This window comes from Homo sapiens, chromosome 10 (assembly GCF_000001405.40).
Source record: "Homo sapiens chromosome 10, GRCh38.p14 Primary Assembly".
Classification (NCBI taxonomy): Eukaryota; Metazoa; Chordata; class Mammalia; order Primates; family Hominidae; genus Homo; species Homo sapiens.
Genome location: NC_000010.11, coordinates 66,620,411 through 66,638,623, shown reverse-complemented (window position 1 = coordinate 66,638,623; position 18,213 = coordinate 66,620,411). Strand labels below are relative to the sequence as shown.

The 18,213-nt window shown below is 35.4% G+C and overlaps 1 protein-coding gene across 8 annotated transcripts in view; it reads left to right on the top strand.

Moving 5' to 3' along the window:
* The window catches only part of CTNNA3 (catenin alpha 3), a 1,851,072-nt gene that overhangs the window by 1,124,971 nt on the left and 707,888 nt on the right, over positions 1 to 18,213 (top strand). For all 8 annotated transcript variants that reach the window (XM_047425124.1, NM_013266.4, XM_017016152.2 and 5 more), the window contains one exon: positions 16,840 to 16,932. In XM_047425124.1, coding sequence (XP_047281080.1) covers positions 16,840 to 16,932 — 93 coding nt within the window. The remainder of the gene's footprint in view (positions 1 to 16,839; positions 16,933 to 18,213) is intronic.

Below are 18,213 nucleotides of genomic sequence, written 5' to 3'. Positions count from 1 at the left end.
AAGAGGATGTGGAAGATGAATGGAGGAAGACAGCAGGGACTGGCATTAGTCTATTTATGGGAAAAGAAAGAGCAACAGATTTTAGCCTATTAATTTCAAGTGAATAGATTAAGCCTATTAATATCAATTGAATATAATTGCCTGCCCCCGCCCAGAAGTCCACTTCTAGAGTTGGGGCGGCGGAGGGGTGGGCGGCGGCGGGAGGATATTATATTCAATTAAAGTCCGCTTCTAGAGGATGCAGGGAAAATACATTCATTTGAAATTAATAGGCTAAATAGAATGTGCTGGGAAAGAGGAAATCACGAATTGCACTTGAGTTGCCAGCAACCCTTAGAGATGTCTGAAAAGCAAATTTAAAAACAAGTCACTTGCAGGAACAGTTTCCAGTTCTTAATAAGATAATTCAGAATTTGAGACAAAATCATGAACAAAGATTGCAAGAGGGATTTTGCTAAGCTAAAAACCCTTGCAGAGAACGCCTAGAATGGCATTGCTTAGATTTAAGCTTTTTCTTGGAAATGTGAGAAGTGACGCAGCTGACAGTCTTGTCTTGTTCTTCCAGTGGTGGAAGGTGATAATGAGCCATCAGGGTCCAAAGGGTAGGCTGTTAGGGAAGAGAAACATTGTGCCTGGACAAACAGCATAATCAGCCCTCAAGTAATCCAGCCATGGTTGTGGTTTTATGCAGGGATGGCAGCTGCCCATTAGTGTTAATTAACCAACAAGGTGTGGGTGTGCTTTCCAAAGACTGGCAGCCAGGGGCAGGAGGGATCCATAGTAGTCAGAGGCTGAAGGTGAGGGTAGGACTCTAACTTCTGTGATGAAAAATGAACTGGGCTTTTATTGGCATTCTCTGTTTCTGGCTACTGAGCATCCAGGACGCTTTGTACTCTGTGTCCCAAGGGGGAGGTGCTCATTAAGGTTACCATCTCATAGGTGAGAAAGCTCAGCCTCTGCCCTCAAGAGCTGGGGAAGGAAGCAACCTGTCTCCTGACTTCTGGAACAAAACGGCATACACTGAGCAAAGCCAGAATGCTGTGGGATTTCTTTCTTCAGAGGCTGAGCCTGACAACGGTTTGAAAGGCTCCAGGTGCAGTGCAAGCAAGCCAGCCTTCTGAAACAGGGTCAAAAACTGGACTAGTTGATGGCAAATGCCCTCCAACTCCTGTGACTCAGACTCAGAGCCTTTGAGCAATGCTGGTGAGAATCCAGGCCTGGCTGGTGCAACCATGTAGTGCCATGTGGCTGATGTGCATGGAGCTACCTTGAATGCAGCATTGCTTTCTTGAATTTTGATTTAAGTTTCATGTTACTTGACATAAGAATTGAAAACAACTAAATACATAGGAAGTATTGTAATAAGGATAGAAATAAAATAACATGCAATGTAACTTTCAGTATTTGCAATAACAGTTTTCATTAGACCATTCACTATTTCTTAAAGAGAATTTGTATTTAAACGAAACATTTCTGATTTATCCAAAAATCTTCTGTTACTGGGATTTATTAATATTAAAACTTCTATGTTTTCTATCAACACATTTTTATATGACAGTCTTATTTTTAGAGTTTTATTAAACAATTCAATTGATATATAGAAATTGTCTTTCTTTAAGACTTTTTAAAACTATCCAGCTAACATTTTTTAAAGCTTCACTGCGTTATCTCCTTATTATGAAGCCCATCAGCATTTAGTGTTTTACTCGTTTAGCATAGTATACACTGTCATTTAAATGTTTTCATTATTAATAGCTCTAAATGTTTTGTGTATTTACATCTAAATCTCTCATTTATTGAAGCATGGCAACTACTTTTTCCCCATCTTCTCTTCTTTTTCTTTCAGTGCCTGGAACATGCCTGATAGATAATAAATATTTGTGGATTTTGTTGTTGTCTTTAGGCCTCTGTAAAGAGATCAATCATAAATAAGTATAGAGAAGACAACGTGAAAAATATTTTATTTGCAATGTTGGGTTAAATGTATTCAACAGAAGCTTTAAGAACCCACTGCTTGCAATATCTTAGAACCAAAAAGAGGAGTAAGATGGTTTCTGTCTTCAAGGATTTCACAATTTAACCTTGTGCAAATAGAATTCATATGTTGGTTTGCTCTAATTATGGAAGGTTAGTATACAAGATCCCTTCTTACTCCTCCCTCCTCCCTTCTAGAACTACTAGGAACCATAAATAATATATATTTAAAAAAATTACTAAGATTACACTGCAAGTGTCTTATCCTATCCTCTAGTAATGGCCACTACTCACAGTATGTGTCCAGTATTTCAGTGTGCTGTAGAGGTACAGGGGTAGTTAAGATTAAACCTGTAATAGCTTATGCCCCTGCTAACGTTAAAGGGCCTAAATATTTTATTTTCTTTTAATTCTATATTACATAATTAGCTATACTTCATTTTTATCATATAATTAAATGCAGAACACATTCAAGGAGCCCTCCTGAGATTCAGGGACCCAAGAATGAGGGGATATGAAATCATAGTATTTAATAATAGTACATGCACATATTTGTAAATTTTGCTCGGACTTCATATATACATACACAAATGTGCTTGCCTCTCTTCCACTCCACACACACACACACACACACACACACACACACACACACACACACAGTGTTCTTCCAATTTGTTTCACTCATTATCGGCAATTTATACTCAGAGACAAGGGGCTTTCTCTGGGATTATAATTATGGTAAATTTCAAAGCTTCTTTGCCTATTTCCTTCAAAGTCATAATAAATAGATGCCTACAGGAAAAAAATAGTTTCACAGATTATTGTTATGATGTCTTCGAAGATAGAAGTTGCCAGATGATTGATTGCCTACTGTCATTCTACTAAGAGACCCGTTCTTTTGTGAAAGTAAGGAATGAATCTGGGTGTGTATTTCGTGATTAGTTAGGGAATCAGGTGATATTGATGGTCTCATCCACATCCAGGAAGTTTACACAATTGCAATTCAATTAACTTTGTCCTATGCAACACCTTCTGTTCCCATGATAGCATTTGAACAGTGCAATATGTACAAAACATGTTGATTCAGAAATAGACTCACTGAAAACTTTATATTGGCTTTAATATATTGTATCTCTCTTTAAGAAAATCCCTTCTCTTTCTGCCATGTGAGAAATCAGGTCACTGGTCATAAAATTGCTTTGAAATTTGACAGCAATTTCAATGATAATGAAAGCTAATTATAGCATTGTTTTGACATCTACCCTTTCCACAATGATCCTATTAATAAACACTTATTAGACCTGCATGCTTCATATTTATTCTTGACCTCAGTGACAACAAAGAATAACACTAGTTTAGGAAACAACACTTAATCCTGTCTTTAATTTATAGTTTAGATTTGTTTCATCTCTTTGGTACTTCAATATATTTTATTTGGTACTGTTTATTATATTAAATTTACTAGGCAGGTGACACATACTTTTATCCTTTGAGTGGTGATTCTGAGGTGAATAATAGCTTAATTTAGAGAGGGACCTTGAATAAACTATCTAGCTGGTTTTACCATTATAATTTACATCACACAGCAATATGAGGTGTGTGTGTCCATTTACAGTTATATATTGTTCCAAACTAAAAGGGAAATATATTTGGCAAAATGGGACTCTTAGAGCAGTCTACATTGCAGACTTCAATTTGAGCTATGTAACATATATTTCTCATAATTTATTGGAAGCAATAATACTGTAACAGCCAAATATGTTTGAGTTTGTGTGTATGTGTGTTTTCATCTCAATTGCTTCTTTTGTGATGGCACATTCTGACGCAGCATACTGATACCTCTTTTTCAGAACAATGTTGACATATGTCCACTTAGACAAATGAATATTTTCATCTTTAATGACTTATTTGAGAGGGACAAGAATTTCAGACACAAATTTGAATAGAATTGGAGGTGTGAGTAAGATAGGAAAAAGGAAGAAATGTAGGACCATGTTATAATTATTCAATCATAAGAATCATTACCTTATATCTGCTGCAGACACACACACACACACACACACACACACACACACACCATGCACAGAGTACCTTTCCAAACATGTTGAATTTAAATTCATTATTAAGATCAATATTGGCTGGTATGATTTTGTCATTGATAAGAAGCTTTAATTGACTTGTTTTTGTGCCATTATTTGACATTAAGACAAGGTAAAACCAGTGCCTTGTTTCCCTACTGTGAATTCTCAATCATTTTTGTGAATCATCATTTTAAATATAACAGCATATGAGACCATGAAAACTATTTTCTGCTTAGCAGCATTTTTTTCTATGTAATCATTATATATGTGTATTTTCTGGAAACCTTATTTATAAATGGTTCTGTATCTTCAGGCTTCGCAATAAGTGTCATGATTAATACAATTTTCTTGATTGGTATTAAAAATTCACATACAGGTATAGATAGGTTTTATTCTCTTCAAAATGATTCATTTTTATTATAATAAGCCAAATTATAAATTATTAAGAATATAGAAAAGGAAAGTTGAAATTACCTTGATTTTCACTCCTCAGAGATCATCACAATTGCCATTTTGGGGAGGATCATTTTGGATATCACATTTCCATATGCATACACAAAACCTTACCATCTTTCATAAATGAGATTATTACACATGCTGTTTTACTTGTCATTGGTGTGTTCCATATACACCAATACATATAGGACTATTTCATCAATCGCGTTTTTTTGTAAATTAGAAAACTAATTTCACTGTTAATATAGTGAAAAATATACTTGGAAAAACTTCAGTCGATATAGAAACATAGTCAAAAGGGGATACTTCTCTTCATAGCAATAGTAATCCTACCTTCTCTCCCATATATAACTCAAATTAACAGTAGGAATTATCACTGTGGACATTATACTTTGCATTTATACATAATTTTAAGTAAATAATTTTTTTTTTTGAGATGGAGTCTTGCTCTGTTGCCCAGGCTGGAGTGCAGTGGCAGGATCTCGGCTCACTGCAAGCTCTGCCTTCTGGGTTCACGCCATTCTCCTGCCTTAGCCTCCCAAGTAGCTGGGACTACAAGTGCCCGCCACCACACCCGGCTAATTTTTTGTATTTTTAGTAGAGACGGGGTTTCACCATGTTAGCCAGGATGGTCTTGATCTCCTGACCTCGTGATCTGCCCGCCTTGGCCTCCCAAAGTGCTGGGATTACAGGCGTGAGCCACTGCACCTGGTCATGTAAGTAAATAATTTTAAATAGAATCATGTTTTCCATTCTGCAGTATCTCACTTAAAATTATATACTTGAGATATTTTACAGCAGCATAACATTTTATTTTTTTTACAGAATCATAATATTACATAATTTATTCTCCACTGTTAAATATTTAGATTCATTTTCGCTTTTACAAATAAAGTTTTCACGTGGCTGTGAGTCTGTTCACATATGCAAGTATTTCTGAATGACAGATTCCATTAAATTGAATTGCTACAGTTCTGAACATTTTAAATTTTCGTAGGTGAAACTAAATTGCTCTCTGAAAAGTTGGCCATTTACCTTCCAGTTGTATCCCCATATTCTCAGCAGTATTGGATAATATCAAAAACTTTTTACATATTTCTGATCTGATGAGCAAAAACCGTGATTTTCTTGCTTAGTTGAATATCCTGCTTAGTAAGAGCTAGACTGAGAATCTTTTCATGTATTTATTAGTCATATTTCATATGTAAAGTCTCTATTTAAATATTTTGTCCATTTTTAATGGCCTTTTTTCCTTATTGATACTTAGGAGCTATTTATACCTGTGGATAATAATTTTTATTATCAAATATAAAAACAAAGTTTTGCCTATCTTTTGTATTTTAACTTTATTTTCAATATTTTGACATTTAAAATTTTTTATGTAGTAATATATTCTAGCCTTTTTACATAATTGCACTTTTCTCCTGAAAGTAGAGAGCAGGAAATTGGGCCATCACCAATATTTTTTACCATTACCCTGAAAAACACTAAATTTTTGTGTTTTTAATTACTGGCACATAATACTTTTCTTCATTCTTTTTTTTTTTTTTTTTTTTTGAGATGGAGTTTCATTCTTGTCACCCAGGCTGGAATGCAATGAAGTGATCTCGGCTCACTTCAACCTCTGCCTCCCAGGTTCAAGCGATTCTCCTGCCTCGGCCTCCCAAGTAGCTGGGATTACAGGCATGCGCCACCAAGCCCGGCTAATTTTTGTATTTTTTAGTAGAGATGGGGTTGCACCGTGTTGGCCAGGCTGGTCTCAAACTCTTGACCTCAGGAGATTCACCCACCTCAGCCTCCCAAAGTGCCGGGATTACAGACGTGAGCCACCGTACCCAGCCCATTCCCCATTTTTATAAAACTTATTTGCCAGCCTTTCATATATTCTTCCAGATGCACATTAAAATTTACCTAAGTTCAGTATAGCTCTATAAATTTAATAGACAAATTTTATGAGAGATAACATTATATTTTGCAATACTGAGTTTTTCCATCCAGGAATCTGATATTTCTCACTATTCATTCCATTCTCTTTTTATATCATTAAGTAAAATTTAATACATCTATAGATATGCACACATATCTATAATTGTGCTTATTTCAATAGATATATACTGCTATGAAATTTATAATATTTAGTTGCTATAATAACAAATTTTGTCATGAAAACTTTTAAAATATATAGAAAAATATATTATTCATCTCACATTCATTCTGCATGAAGAAGTGTTACCGAATACTCAATAGTAATAACAGTTTTCAGATAATCTTGTTTTCCCTAGGTAGACAATTTTGAGACCTGGGAATAAATATAGTTATTTGTTAACAATATTTGCATCTATTGCTTTTTTTTATTCATTTAGATTTACTAGAACCTTGAGTAAAATATTGATTAACCTCACTTATAGTGGGAATGCTTATCTTAATCTTGAATTTTGAGCATGACACTTGCTGGAAATTTCTGGATTTTGTTTGAGATTAAGAATTATTCTTCCTATTCATAGATTGCTAAGGTTTTGAGTTTGTTTTTTAGTGTAGTTTTGCTTTGCTTTAATCAGAATAGGCATAAACCTGTCATCAATGCTTTTTAAAAATCTATTGATATCCAGTTCAAAAAGGAATTTCAGTATTAGATCTCTCAGTCATGAGTCATTTGTTCATTCTGGGAATAAACAACATTGTCTTGCTTTATTATTATTTTTTATTACACAGTTGAATTAAATTGGCTAATATTTCATCTACAAATTCATGTTTAAATTAATAGGAACGTTGCCTGATAGCTCTTCTCCTTTGTCTAATTTCTGTCTAATTTTGTTATCAGTTACATAAGCAGTAAAACAAAATTATTGAAATGGAAAGAGGTCTAGAAATGAAGTCAATCTGTTCCTCATCTTATAGATGGATGACCAAAGACAGAGAGGTAAAGCAAAACTAATATCAGAGACCGGATTGTGTGATTGAGGATTCATAAAATTTGGGAAGCAGCTTGAGATGCAAAGTTCAAGAGAATATGAATTTCCTAAGTAATAATTTGTCTCCATGTAACACTCTTACTACAGTCATCTCTATGAAGTTCACCTACCTCTATCTTCTTGTAGTATTTGGAGACAGAGTTTTAGTTTTTGATCCTTTCACGTGTCCCTTTAAATAGATTGTGCTTGTTGGGATTCACTTTCATTGATTTTGACTTCTATCATTTCCCTGACAGTTCCCAGCCCACATAATAGGTGCATAATCAATATTTGTTAGTTGATGAAATTGTTTCCCTGCAATTTGCTATGTGCTTTTACAGCACAGTTATATTAGTTAAATATTCTACAGAACCCATAATTCATAATCATTTCTTATTACTACCAAGGGAAGCAGAGCAGCGCTGCTTCACTAGGAGAAAGAGAAGGGCTGACTTGTTAGCCAGAGGTCATTCGGTGCCAACATGGGGAGATCAGAGCTCTTTCTGCAATTATCAGAAGCAGAGCATATATTACATTCTGAAATAGACAATGAAGCTCTTGGATTTGTCTATGGAAGTTACTGTGCCTCTTTCCATCTGCCACACTTGCCAACATTTGGCATCCAGCTTGGGCCCTTTAAGAGTTACTTTACTTGATTAAAAATAAATAAATTAAAAGCTAAATTGGGACCTATTCAGTAGTTCCATATTTGATATCTTAAGTGAAGGTAAAACTTGAAAGAAGCTGCCCCCCAAGCCTTGTTAAGGATGATGGCCAGACTAGAAGAAAAACAAGTACTTTTCTTGAAAGTCCAGTTGTCTAAGCCTTTGTAGAATATTGAAAATGAATTTCAAAGGAAAAATTTCATTCCTCTTTATTTCTTGTCCTGAATTTCTGCTGCTGACTCCTCCCTTAAAACCCATTTTTCTTCTATTTGTCATCTCATGTTCATCAAGAAGATGATACATTCTCAAGCATACTGATTCAGGCATTCATGCATTCATTCACTCCCCAAAGAACTATTTATAGACTGTCTACTGTGTGTCAGGTACTGGCACTGTAGGCTGAATGATGAGCAAATACAGGGGTGGTCCCTGCTTTTATAAATCTGGGGAAATGTATGCTAATCAAATAATCTTCCCAGTGAACATATAATTATAAACTGAGAATCATGCTCTGAAGGAAAAATCTGACTTAGGTGGGCAGAAGTTTCAGGTATTCTGTGTGGAGGTGGAGGACAGTGTTGGTGAAAAACTTTCCAAGGAATTACTTTTGAGCAGAGATCTGATGGATAGCAGTTAAGCAAGTATAAGTGGTGTGAAGGTGGCTGTGAAAAGGGAGGAAGAGAGCATTCCAGCCAACAGAGAACAGTATGTACAGATGTTTTCTGGCAGAAGCAAGCATTGATACATAAAAGTACATTGATATAGCTGAAGCAAAGAGAGAACAAGAACTACACATGATGACTCTCAGGCCAGACTGCAAGACGTAGTAGGGATGGGGGTATGATGTGGGGATGGAAAGGTGATGATGGGGGAACCAAATTTGCATCTGAAAAAATTTGTTGGCTGCAATGTGAACATATTGTAGAGAAAGAACATTTGCTGACAACAAAAGCTAAAACTGGAAACAAGAATAAAATAAATAAAACTGATCAAAATCTTAACTAGGGTAGAGGACAGCAAAAATATAGGTTGGTGCAAAAGTAATTGCAGTTTCTGCCATTGCAAAAACCACAATCACTTTTGCACCAACCTAATACATGATTTGAGATATTACTGAGAGGTAAAATGTTTTAAAATGGATAGATGGGAGAATGAGAGAGTGAGTATTATCCAGGCGACCTGTAGCTCTCTGCCTTGAGTCATAAGACTCATGGGGTTACTTTACCTCATACACAGTCCTCTGTTCATGTCAGACTAGTTTAACCATCATCATTTGACTTGAACACTCTAGGAATGATTAGCATGGTTGTCTCTGTGGCTGAACTGGATATTTTCAGGGATAACTTACTTGACCTCTCAGCAGTTGATATATGATATCATCCTCTTGAAACCTTTTCTTCTCCTGGTCTCCATGACATCACAGTATTGTGGGCAACCTTTCTTATCTCTGGCCACTTTTTCTAAGTCTCATTGAAGGAGTAACCTCATGTTTCTGCCTAATAAATATTAATATCTTATATACCTCCAAGAACTTTTTCTCCTCACATAATCATATCTAATTACCATCAATAAACTAGTAACTTCTTAATTAATATCTCTACTGTAGACCCCCTCTTAACTACACATCTAACTATATGTAGTTTATGTCTTCTTATGTATCTCAGTGGCAACTCAAACTCAAAGTATCTGATTCAACTCTTGCTATCTCCTACCAACCTGAAGAACTTCTAGTGTTCCATCTATCAGTGATTTGGCTAGTGACTTTGTAGTTTTGCTACTTACTACTGTGTCCAAGGGGCATAGACACCATTTTTCCTTCTTCATGCTTCTTCACAAGCTTTTATGAACTGCCATTTATTTCTAAATTCAGAAAGAAGCCCAAGTCTCCTTTGCCAATACAAGTTAAAAATAAATAACACATTTCAGCTAGATTATTTCCACACCCATATTCAAAGTTTTTCTCTGTTTATTTGTATCTTTGCTACAGATTTGTCTAATCTTGATGTTTCCAATGAATATACACAGTCAGACTGAAATCCACTCGGGGCAGTTAAGTTTAATAACCTAAGGACTTTCTTTTCTCAGGTGTTTCCCCCCATAACCTAAAGCAATAATTCTTACCTTTATATTCATACGGTACAGAATTAGGATCATTTTTATTAGGAAGGAGTGGAAGAAAGGACACAGCTTCCAACGAACAAATTAAGTTGTACACAGGACTTTAAAAAATAGAATTCACCAAATGTGTTAATTTCAGACACAATAGACAATAATTTATATTAACAATGATTCAGTTCCAGATAGAGATAAATTATTATTTTTATTTATTTACATAGATGAAATGCTATTTTCGGGGTATTTAACTTGATGGGAAAATATTTTTAAAAGAATATATCATCGTCTTTACCCTCAAGCAGCTCACCATCTGATAGATACATAAATGAGTTTAGAGAGAAGGAGAATTCGCTATAATGCGAGAGTGTGGGAAGATAAAGATATGGATCCTGGGCATCTGAAAAGAGTTTGTGGAAGAGACAATATTTGATCCAGGCCTTGAAGTATAGGTATGATTTTCAAAGAGTATGTGAGGGGTGGTTTTCAAACAGAATGAGCAGCTTGCTGAAAGATAAACTCAAAAATGATAAATTATTTTCTTCAAGAATTAGATGTTCTCTTGTACCTGATATGTAACATGTTCTAATAGACATTGAAGAATTAGATCGTCAAAGGAAGACACTTATCTGTATGTGCAGGAACTGATATGACTGTCTCCTTCCTTACATTTGTTCCTAACACTAGGACATGCAGGCTGACTAAACCCAGAGGCAGGCATTTAATGAGAAGTTGCCTTTCACAGAAATAATTATGGTTATACATTACCAGCTTTCAACTTTGTTGAAAGTATCCATCTGAGATTAGTACATTCTTAGGGTATAAGTTTCTGGCTCAGTACTTACTAAGAATCGTGGTTCTCTGGTTGTATGCAAAGGAAAATAAATTTGGCTTACTTAAAAAGAAATAAAGACTTTATGGAAGACATAAGGTAATGCACATAAATCAGAATGAAAGAAGGCTAAGATTCGACAGAACAAAGAGTGATTCAGGGCTGTAGGTGGCACTAGTAAGTAAGGGATATGCCCAGGCTAGACCTAGGGGAGGACCAGGATCCTTGATTGACAGTCGTACCAAGACTTTACACCACTAGGTTAGAAAAAGAACTGTTCTCCGAGGGAAATCAGTGTTATTACCAAAGGGAGGAATGGATTTTGGATGGAAGGCCAGAATATCCCCTATACTTGATTTTCTTATTTTAATTTTTAGCCTTTTCTCTATTTCTCAAGTAGAAGTTTAAGTCATTATTTCTTGCCTCTAATGTGTGAAGCTTTCTATTAAACTTCCTACGCTAACCCACACATGTTCAGGTCATTCTTTTTTAGACTTTCACCTCAGTACATTTATCTTCGGGAAAGACTGTCTATTCAAACACATGAAAATTAACCAAAATCCTAGTATGTATCTGTGTGTTGTCATGTGTGTATTGTTGTTGTTGTTGTTGTTGTTGTTGTGTGTGTGTATGTGTTGGAGATGGGGGAGGTGGTATATCAGAATCACCTGGGAGAACTTTTAAAAAATCTAATTATACAGTCCTTACACCTCTGTCTTCCATGCGTATACACACTTAATGTATCAGAATATCTTGACAGAAGGGAATTGGACTTTTCTTTTTAATAGCTATTTACTGGTGATTCTATTACTCTTACCATCTCTCTTATCCCACAAGTTGAGGACTATTGATTTGGATTTTTTGTAGGCCCCATTTTATTTCCATTATTGAATATATTTGCCATTCTGTATTCTAGAACAAGTAGGAGAAATTTGTTGAGAGAAATATTTCATCTCCTTATAAAGAAGAACTTCATAACTTGTGTAACTTTGTAACTTTGGGCTGTCCTGCAATGGGACTAGACTGCCCTGGAAGACAATAAATTATCTGCCTCTGGAAGTATTTACACAAGAGTTGCATGACCAATTGCCAGATGGGAAAATGCATGAAAATGAGACAGTGACCTTTCTCCCCCATTGAGAGCTAGGAGACGTGGTGACATGATATTACAATTAACTATATGAACAATATATAAACAATGAATGTGTGACAATGAAAATCTCAGCAAACATCAAGGTTTGCTTCGTGTTCTGGAGAGATCATATTACAGGTAAATACCTGTGTGGGAACTTCTTGGTGACAGACTGAATGATATGTGATAAGCAGCTGTCCAAATAGTGTACTCATTCCTAACAATGATTTCATTTCAGTTTTCTAAGATGACTGAGAACACTACCAGTGCCCCTGAGATTTCAGATAAAACTTAATACTAGAACGTTAAAACATACCATGCTCTGATATTCAATTTATTTAAAATAGAATATCTTTACCAGATTAGAACAAAGTAATGATGAAAAGCAGACTTAACCTATAGTATGGTAGATCTTTTTTAAAGGGTCATTGAAAAAATTTTCCATCTCAAAATATCTGTTTCATTGCCGTCCCTGGCTCTACCACTGGTGACTCATCCTTTTGTTTCAAGCCTGATCATCCTCCTGACCTTGATAGAGAGTGAGGGACAGAACTAGCCTAGGTGTCAGGATTCTACAAGGCCAGGCTCCACAACAGGGAATTTCTCACCTGAAACCATGGGTTAGGGAGTGAAGGATACTATGTTCTCTGCTGAGTGAAAGAAAAGACTCAAAGTCCAGCAAATGGAAATCATGACAGAAACATACTAACTAGTATACAGAACTGGAACTAGGGGTCAGTGCCATGGCACATGGCTGTAATCCTAGCACTTTGGGAGACTGAGGCAGATGGATTGCTTGAGGTCAGGAGGTCAAAACCAGCTTAGCCAACATGGCGAAACCCCGTCTCTACAAAAAATACAAAAATTAGCCAGGTGTGGTGGTGCGCACCTGTAGTCCCAGCTACTTGAGGGGCTGTGGTGGGAGGATCATTTGAGCCCAGGAGGTGGAGGTTGCAGTGAGCCTAGATCGAGCCACTGCACTCCAGCCTGGGCGACCTAGTGAGACTTGGTCTCTAAATAAATAAGTAAATAAAATGAACTTGAACTAGGAACCAGAAGGAAGGGAACAAACATTAACATGATTGTTCAGCTGAGGAATTGTCTGGCTAGGCATTCTCATCTACAATGTTTTTTAGAGCCCAAATAGGGCAATAAGGTCAGCCATGTTTAAAGGGCCTAGAATATACCATACATTTTAGAGGGCAGAAGGAATGGTGGGAAGGAAAGAGCTGCAAGAGAGGGATGCTAATAAAAAACTTCACTCTCCTCTCATAACAAGACACATATCCCTGTTTGAAGACTTCTTGTTTGTTTTTAAATTATTACAATATTGGTAATTATTTTAAGGATGTAATTTAATCTTTCATAAAAATGAAAGAACATTTTGTCCCAGGTTTTTCTTTTCAATAAATGTGTAAATTTAAATAACTACCTTTTGTCCCATTTATTTAAGATAATTTAGATTCTGCTTTTTGTAGACTTGGTTAAGGATGTAGCAAAATACCAATAAAAAGTCTGGTCAATCATTTCAATGCCAGAATGCTTTTCAAGACTTTCTTCAGGGTAGCAAAAAGGACATACACATATTGCTAGTTAATAGTCGCCCTGCCATTGGTTGGTTTGAGTATGTTTCATCCCCCTGCTTAATTTTGTTTTCTTATTTATACAATATAAGATTAGAGAGTGGGGTTAAATGTCACAAAATGGTGACCTGTGAACTAAAGTAAGCCAACAGACTGTTAGTTTGGCTAAGACATTGAGTTTTTCCTTTCATTTCTCTCGTTTTAATGAATGCCTTTCAGTAGGGCATACATAATCATTTTGTCTGGGGACCCACAACCCCAGCCTACTACTGAGTTCAATCTAGACTCAATGTTTGTATCCCATCCCCTGCATGGCTCTTGAAAGCATTTGAGTTTGTGGCTCTTGGGTCAGACATATTGTTAAATTTCTTTAGGCTCCTAAGGCTTTAATTCTACAAAACCTCTGAGAGTATGAAATTTCTTTTTTTCTTTTCTTTTTCTTTCCATTAGTTGAGAGATAGATTAAATGGAAGGCAATTCATACATGGTGAGGGCCACCAGGCTTCAGACTCTCCCCATACATTATCTCGTTTAATTCTCAAAGCATCCCAGTGAGGTCATCATTATCATACTCATTTTATAGGTGACAAAACAAGATCAAATAATTTAATATCTTGCTCATAATCAGAAGCTTATTAACTGTAGGAACTGGGTTCAAACCCAAATCTGTTTGTCTCCAAAAACTCCCGATATCCTTGTTTCCCTCAGTGAGCAGAAACATTCTACAGAGATCTTATGAATACCAACAAAGCTTTGCCCACATTTTGCGCAGATACACAAAGGATATCAAATGTCCAAATATCTAAAACTATTTTTACAGAACATCTTATTTGCAGGCTGTATTCTTTGACCAGCAGGGAATTACATTTCTACTGTTCTTGGGAACATACTTGACTAAAGAGCCATGCAGAATTTAGGAAGAATCATCATTAGAAGAAATTTGGCTTTATTCACACACTGATGTAACATTAGAAAATATGTCATAAAATCATTCAAATTTGAAATGTAAAGATATTTTATTTCTAACACTTTTCTGTTTTGTCACAGATATTACTTATCTTAAAATTCGACCTTGTTTGTACACAATAGCACTAAAACTGCACATGACTTGAAATATACTCTATTACCTAGTAACTTTGACAGAACAGTTCTGGTAAGGAGAAGTTCAAGTATGTGCAGGCATAGAATACATGAAGACAAAAAGAGTGTTAGTATGATGACTGAGCAGAAAACTTTGAGTAGAAAACACAACTTTCAGTTGTGTTGTATTTTCATTAGAGGGTTGTATAAAATTAATTCTGCTAATATAAACACACACTGTGTTTAACATAATTTCTATACTATGTCAGTCACTTAATTGGCTTTTAATAAGCCTCGGTGGCCAGCAAATATCCAGAAGAAGAATGTATACTTTCAAAAGGAAAAAGAAGAAAATGAGGATACAGTAAATATAAGTAAGTAAAATAAAAAAGTATCTACATAGGGCCAGTTTTTTATAATTTCTAAGCTTTGGGTTAACCAGCATTCTTCTAATTTGACCACATTGAGCCAATGATTTTTATTTTTATTTTTATTTTTTTACTTTAAACAAACAGTGCTCAATTTTACAGGTCAGTATTTTTTGCAAATGCAGTGTGAATTAATATAATACAAATTAAAGCAATTAGACTGTCAAGTTTCACTTTTAGTGATTGGGGTTTGGGGAGTGGAAAGGGGCACAGAAACTGTTGCCCTTTTCAAACAACTCACAAATGTGCTAATTATGTGTCAGAAATTATGAAAGTTGAGGCATTGTGACCTTCAAGCCAACAAAAGACCTTTTCAAGTAAGCCATCCCCATGTACATTAATAAAGTGAGCAATGCCCTTCCACAGTTAAATAATGTATGGCTGTTATTTCATTATATGTGAATGAAAACCGAGGAGTTATTTCACTATTGGCATATTAAAAGAAATGTTATAAAAAAGCAAAGACTGTAAATCCATTTAAATAACATTTTGTGGTACTTTTAAAATAGTGATCCAAAGTCATATGTTGTTTATTTCCACTGCATGTGGCTAATGCGTAGTTTCTCCGCAACTGGATGTATTTTAGATCTTAGCAGGAAAAACTGCAATGCGTTAAAGTATAAAACAACTGACAGAGATATTTTAAAAGTTAGAAAAATTACTGTTAGATAAAGTAAATCCTTGCAATGATAAAGACAATGAGATATTTTGTAGATCAGAGAAAACATTGCCTCTGTCCATAAGCCTTACTGTGTTAGTAAGAAGAATCTTGAACAAGAGTGGGGTGCAGAGGAAGGGAAAATAACCTCTCACTCTTCATCATGGCTCTTTCATGGTCTGAAGAAAGTATTTGTAAACCTTGGATTTAGGTCATGGACATAATGGTAATTAAAACAGCACTCATTTTGTTGGAAGAAAATGTAAATTTCAAAAGCAATAATATAAGAGAAATTTGGGTGTCACTAATGCTTGAATCAAATGCACTGCAGGAATGTCAAACAGTGCCCATGAAGTTGTAGTGGAAAATCAAGAGCAGGAAGAAGTTAATTATCTTGTATTTGTTCAGCTTTGTAGTATATTTGATGCAAACAAAATGTATAAAGATACAGTCATACTTAATGCAACTTAAATATGAGTAATAGACCTCTGGGAAATAATAAACCAATTACAAATTTAAAATAAATCACAATCATATGAGATTCCAAAAACCTATTAGCATTCAATCCACAGATAAACTTTTGTTTTTCCAGTCTCACAATAGCTTCTTATTATGGGTTAGATGTTGATACCAAGAGACTGTATAGGGTTTACTGATTCTCTCACTAGTCTCTCCTCATTTTAAACAATTATCTAGGTCCTTTTATTGTTATTTGCTTTAATAGATTCTCTGAATTCTTTCATAAAATAGATACCAGTGATGATTTTGAGAATGTTATTTGTCATTGAGATTCTTGATGAATGTGTACATGTTCTTGTTCAGTATAAGTGTTGCTGCATTTCCTTGCTAATCTAAAATAATTTCCATTATTTTGGATTGTATTTAAGGTGGCAAATCTTGCTTGTTCCATGTCAACAAATGAAGATGGAATTAAAATTGTCAAAATTGCAGCCAATCATTTGGAAACCTTGTGTCCACAGGTATGACAACTAAGTTACTTTTTGTGTGTAAAATTATATATAATTCCTAATGCTTTTATGCATATGAAAATACACTATTTTTTTTTCTTTTTTTTTTTTTGAGACCAGGTCTCGCTCTGTTGCCCAGGCTGGAATGCAGTGGCGCAATCTCGACTGACTGCAACTTCTGCTTCCTGAGTAGCTGGGATTACAGGCATGCGCCACCATGCCTGGCTAATTTCTGTATTTTTAATAGAGATGGGGTTTCACCATGTTGGCCAGGCTGGTCTCGAACTCCTGACCTCAAGTGATCTGCCCACCTCGGCCTCCCAAACTGTTGGGATTACAGGCGTGAGCCACCGTGCCCAGCCAAAATGTTTATTTGAAGCATGGAAGACAGAATTGTCCTAAGGCGATTCTTAAAAAGAGAGTAGAGAAAAAGACTGACATTCTTTAAGTGGCCATATTGGAATCTCCTGAGGCAAAGGTGCTTTGTCCAAATGATTTGATTTATTTTTAGTAATTATTTATTTTGAAATTTCAAATCAGCTGAAAGAATTGACTCTTTTTTTCTTTTATCAAAGAAGGTATCGGTTTGAAAAAAGTTAAGAAATATTTTCTTGTCGGTAATTCAGATGTTTCTTAAAATCTGAAGAGTGACACACTTTTAGGGAATTATTTCTACATGACAAATGGTTTTGAAGCCATGAATCAAGATACACATAGAGAAATTTTAAACACTCTTATCTGAGAAGAAGCAGGATATAATACGGATACTTCCTAATAAAGACCACAAATGTTATAAGGATGAGAAAAATAACAAAGATTAGGGACTTTAAGTCTCTGGACGTCTCCTGAGATTCTCAGTCTACAAAAAGTAGGGCATGTGTTAAATTATTGATTTGCCTTGCTGACAATTTCATCTCTAAGAATATTAAGGAAACTGTGAAGGAAACTGCTTCTTTGGACTTAATGTTGATTAACAAGTAAGAACAAGCTGGAAAAGTGGGATCTAGAGGACCTGCAGCTGAGATCTCCCAACTGATGTCAATTTTCTATGAAACTCCAGAGGGAACAGAATACTGCAATGAGGTCTCTAAAGTAGTTGAATGAAATATACTCCCATCAACACTCTTTAAGTGTTTTCATCTCTGCACATTGTGAATAATGCTCAAGGTTATCACTTTTTAAAATGCCTTTTCAATCTGAAGAGGATTAAGTATCTCTCATTGGTTTTAATGTGTAATTTTCTGATTCCTAGTGAGAACATTCTTTTTGCAAATATTTATTGACTATTTGGCT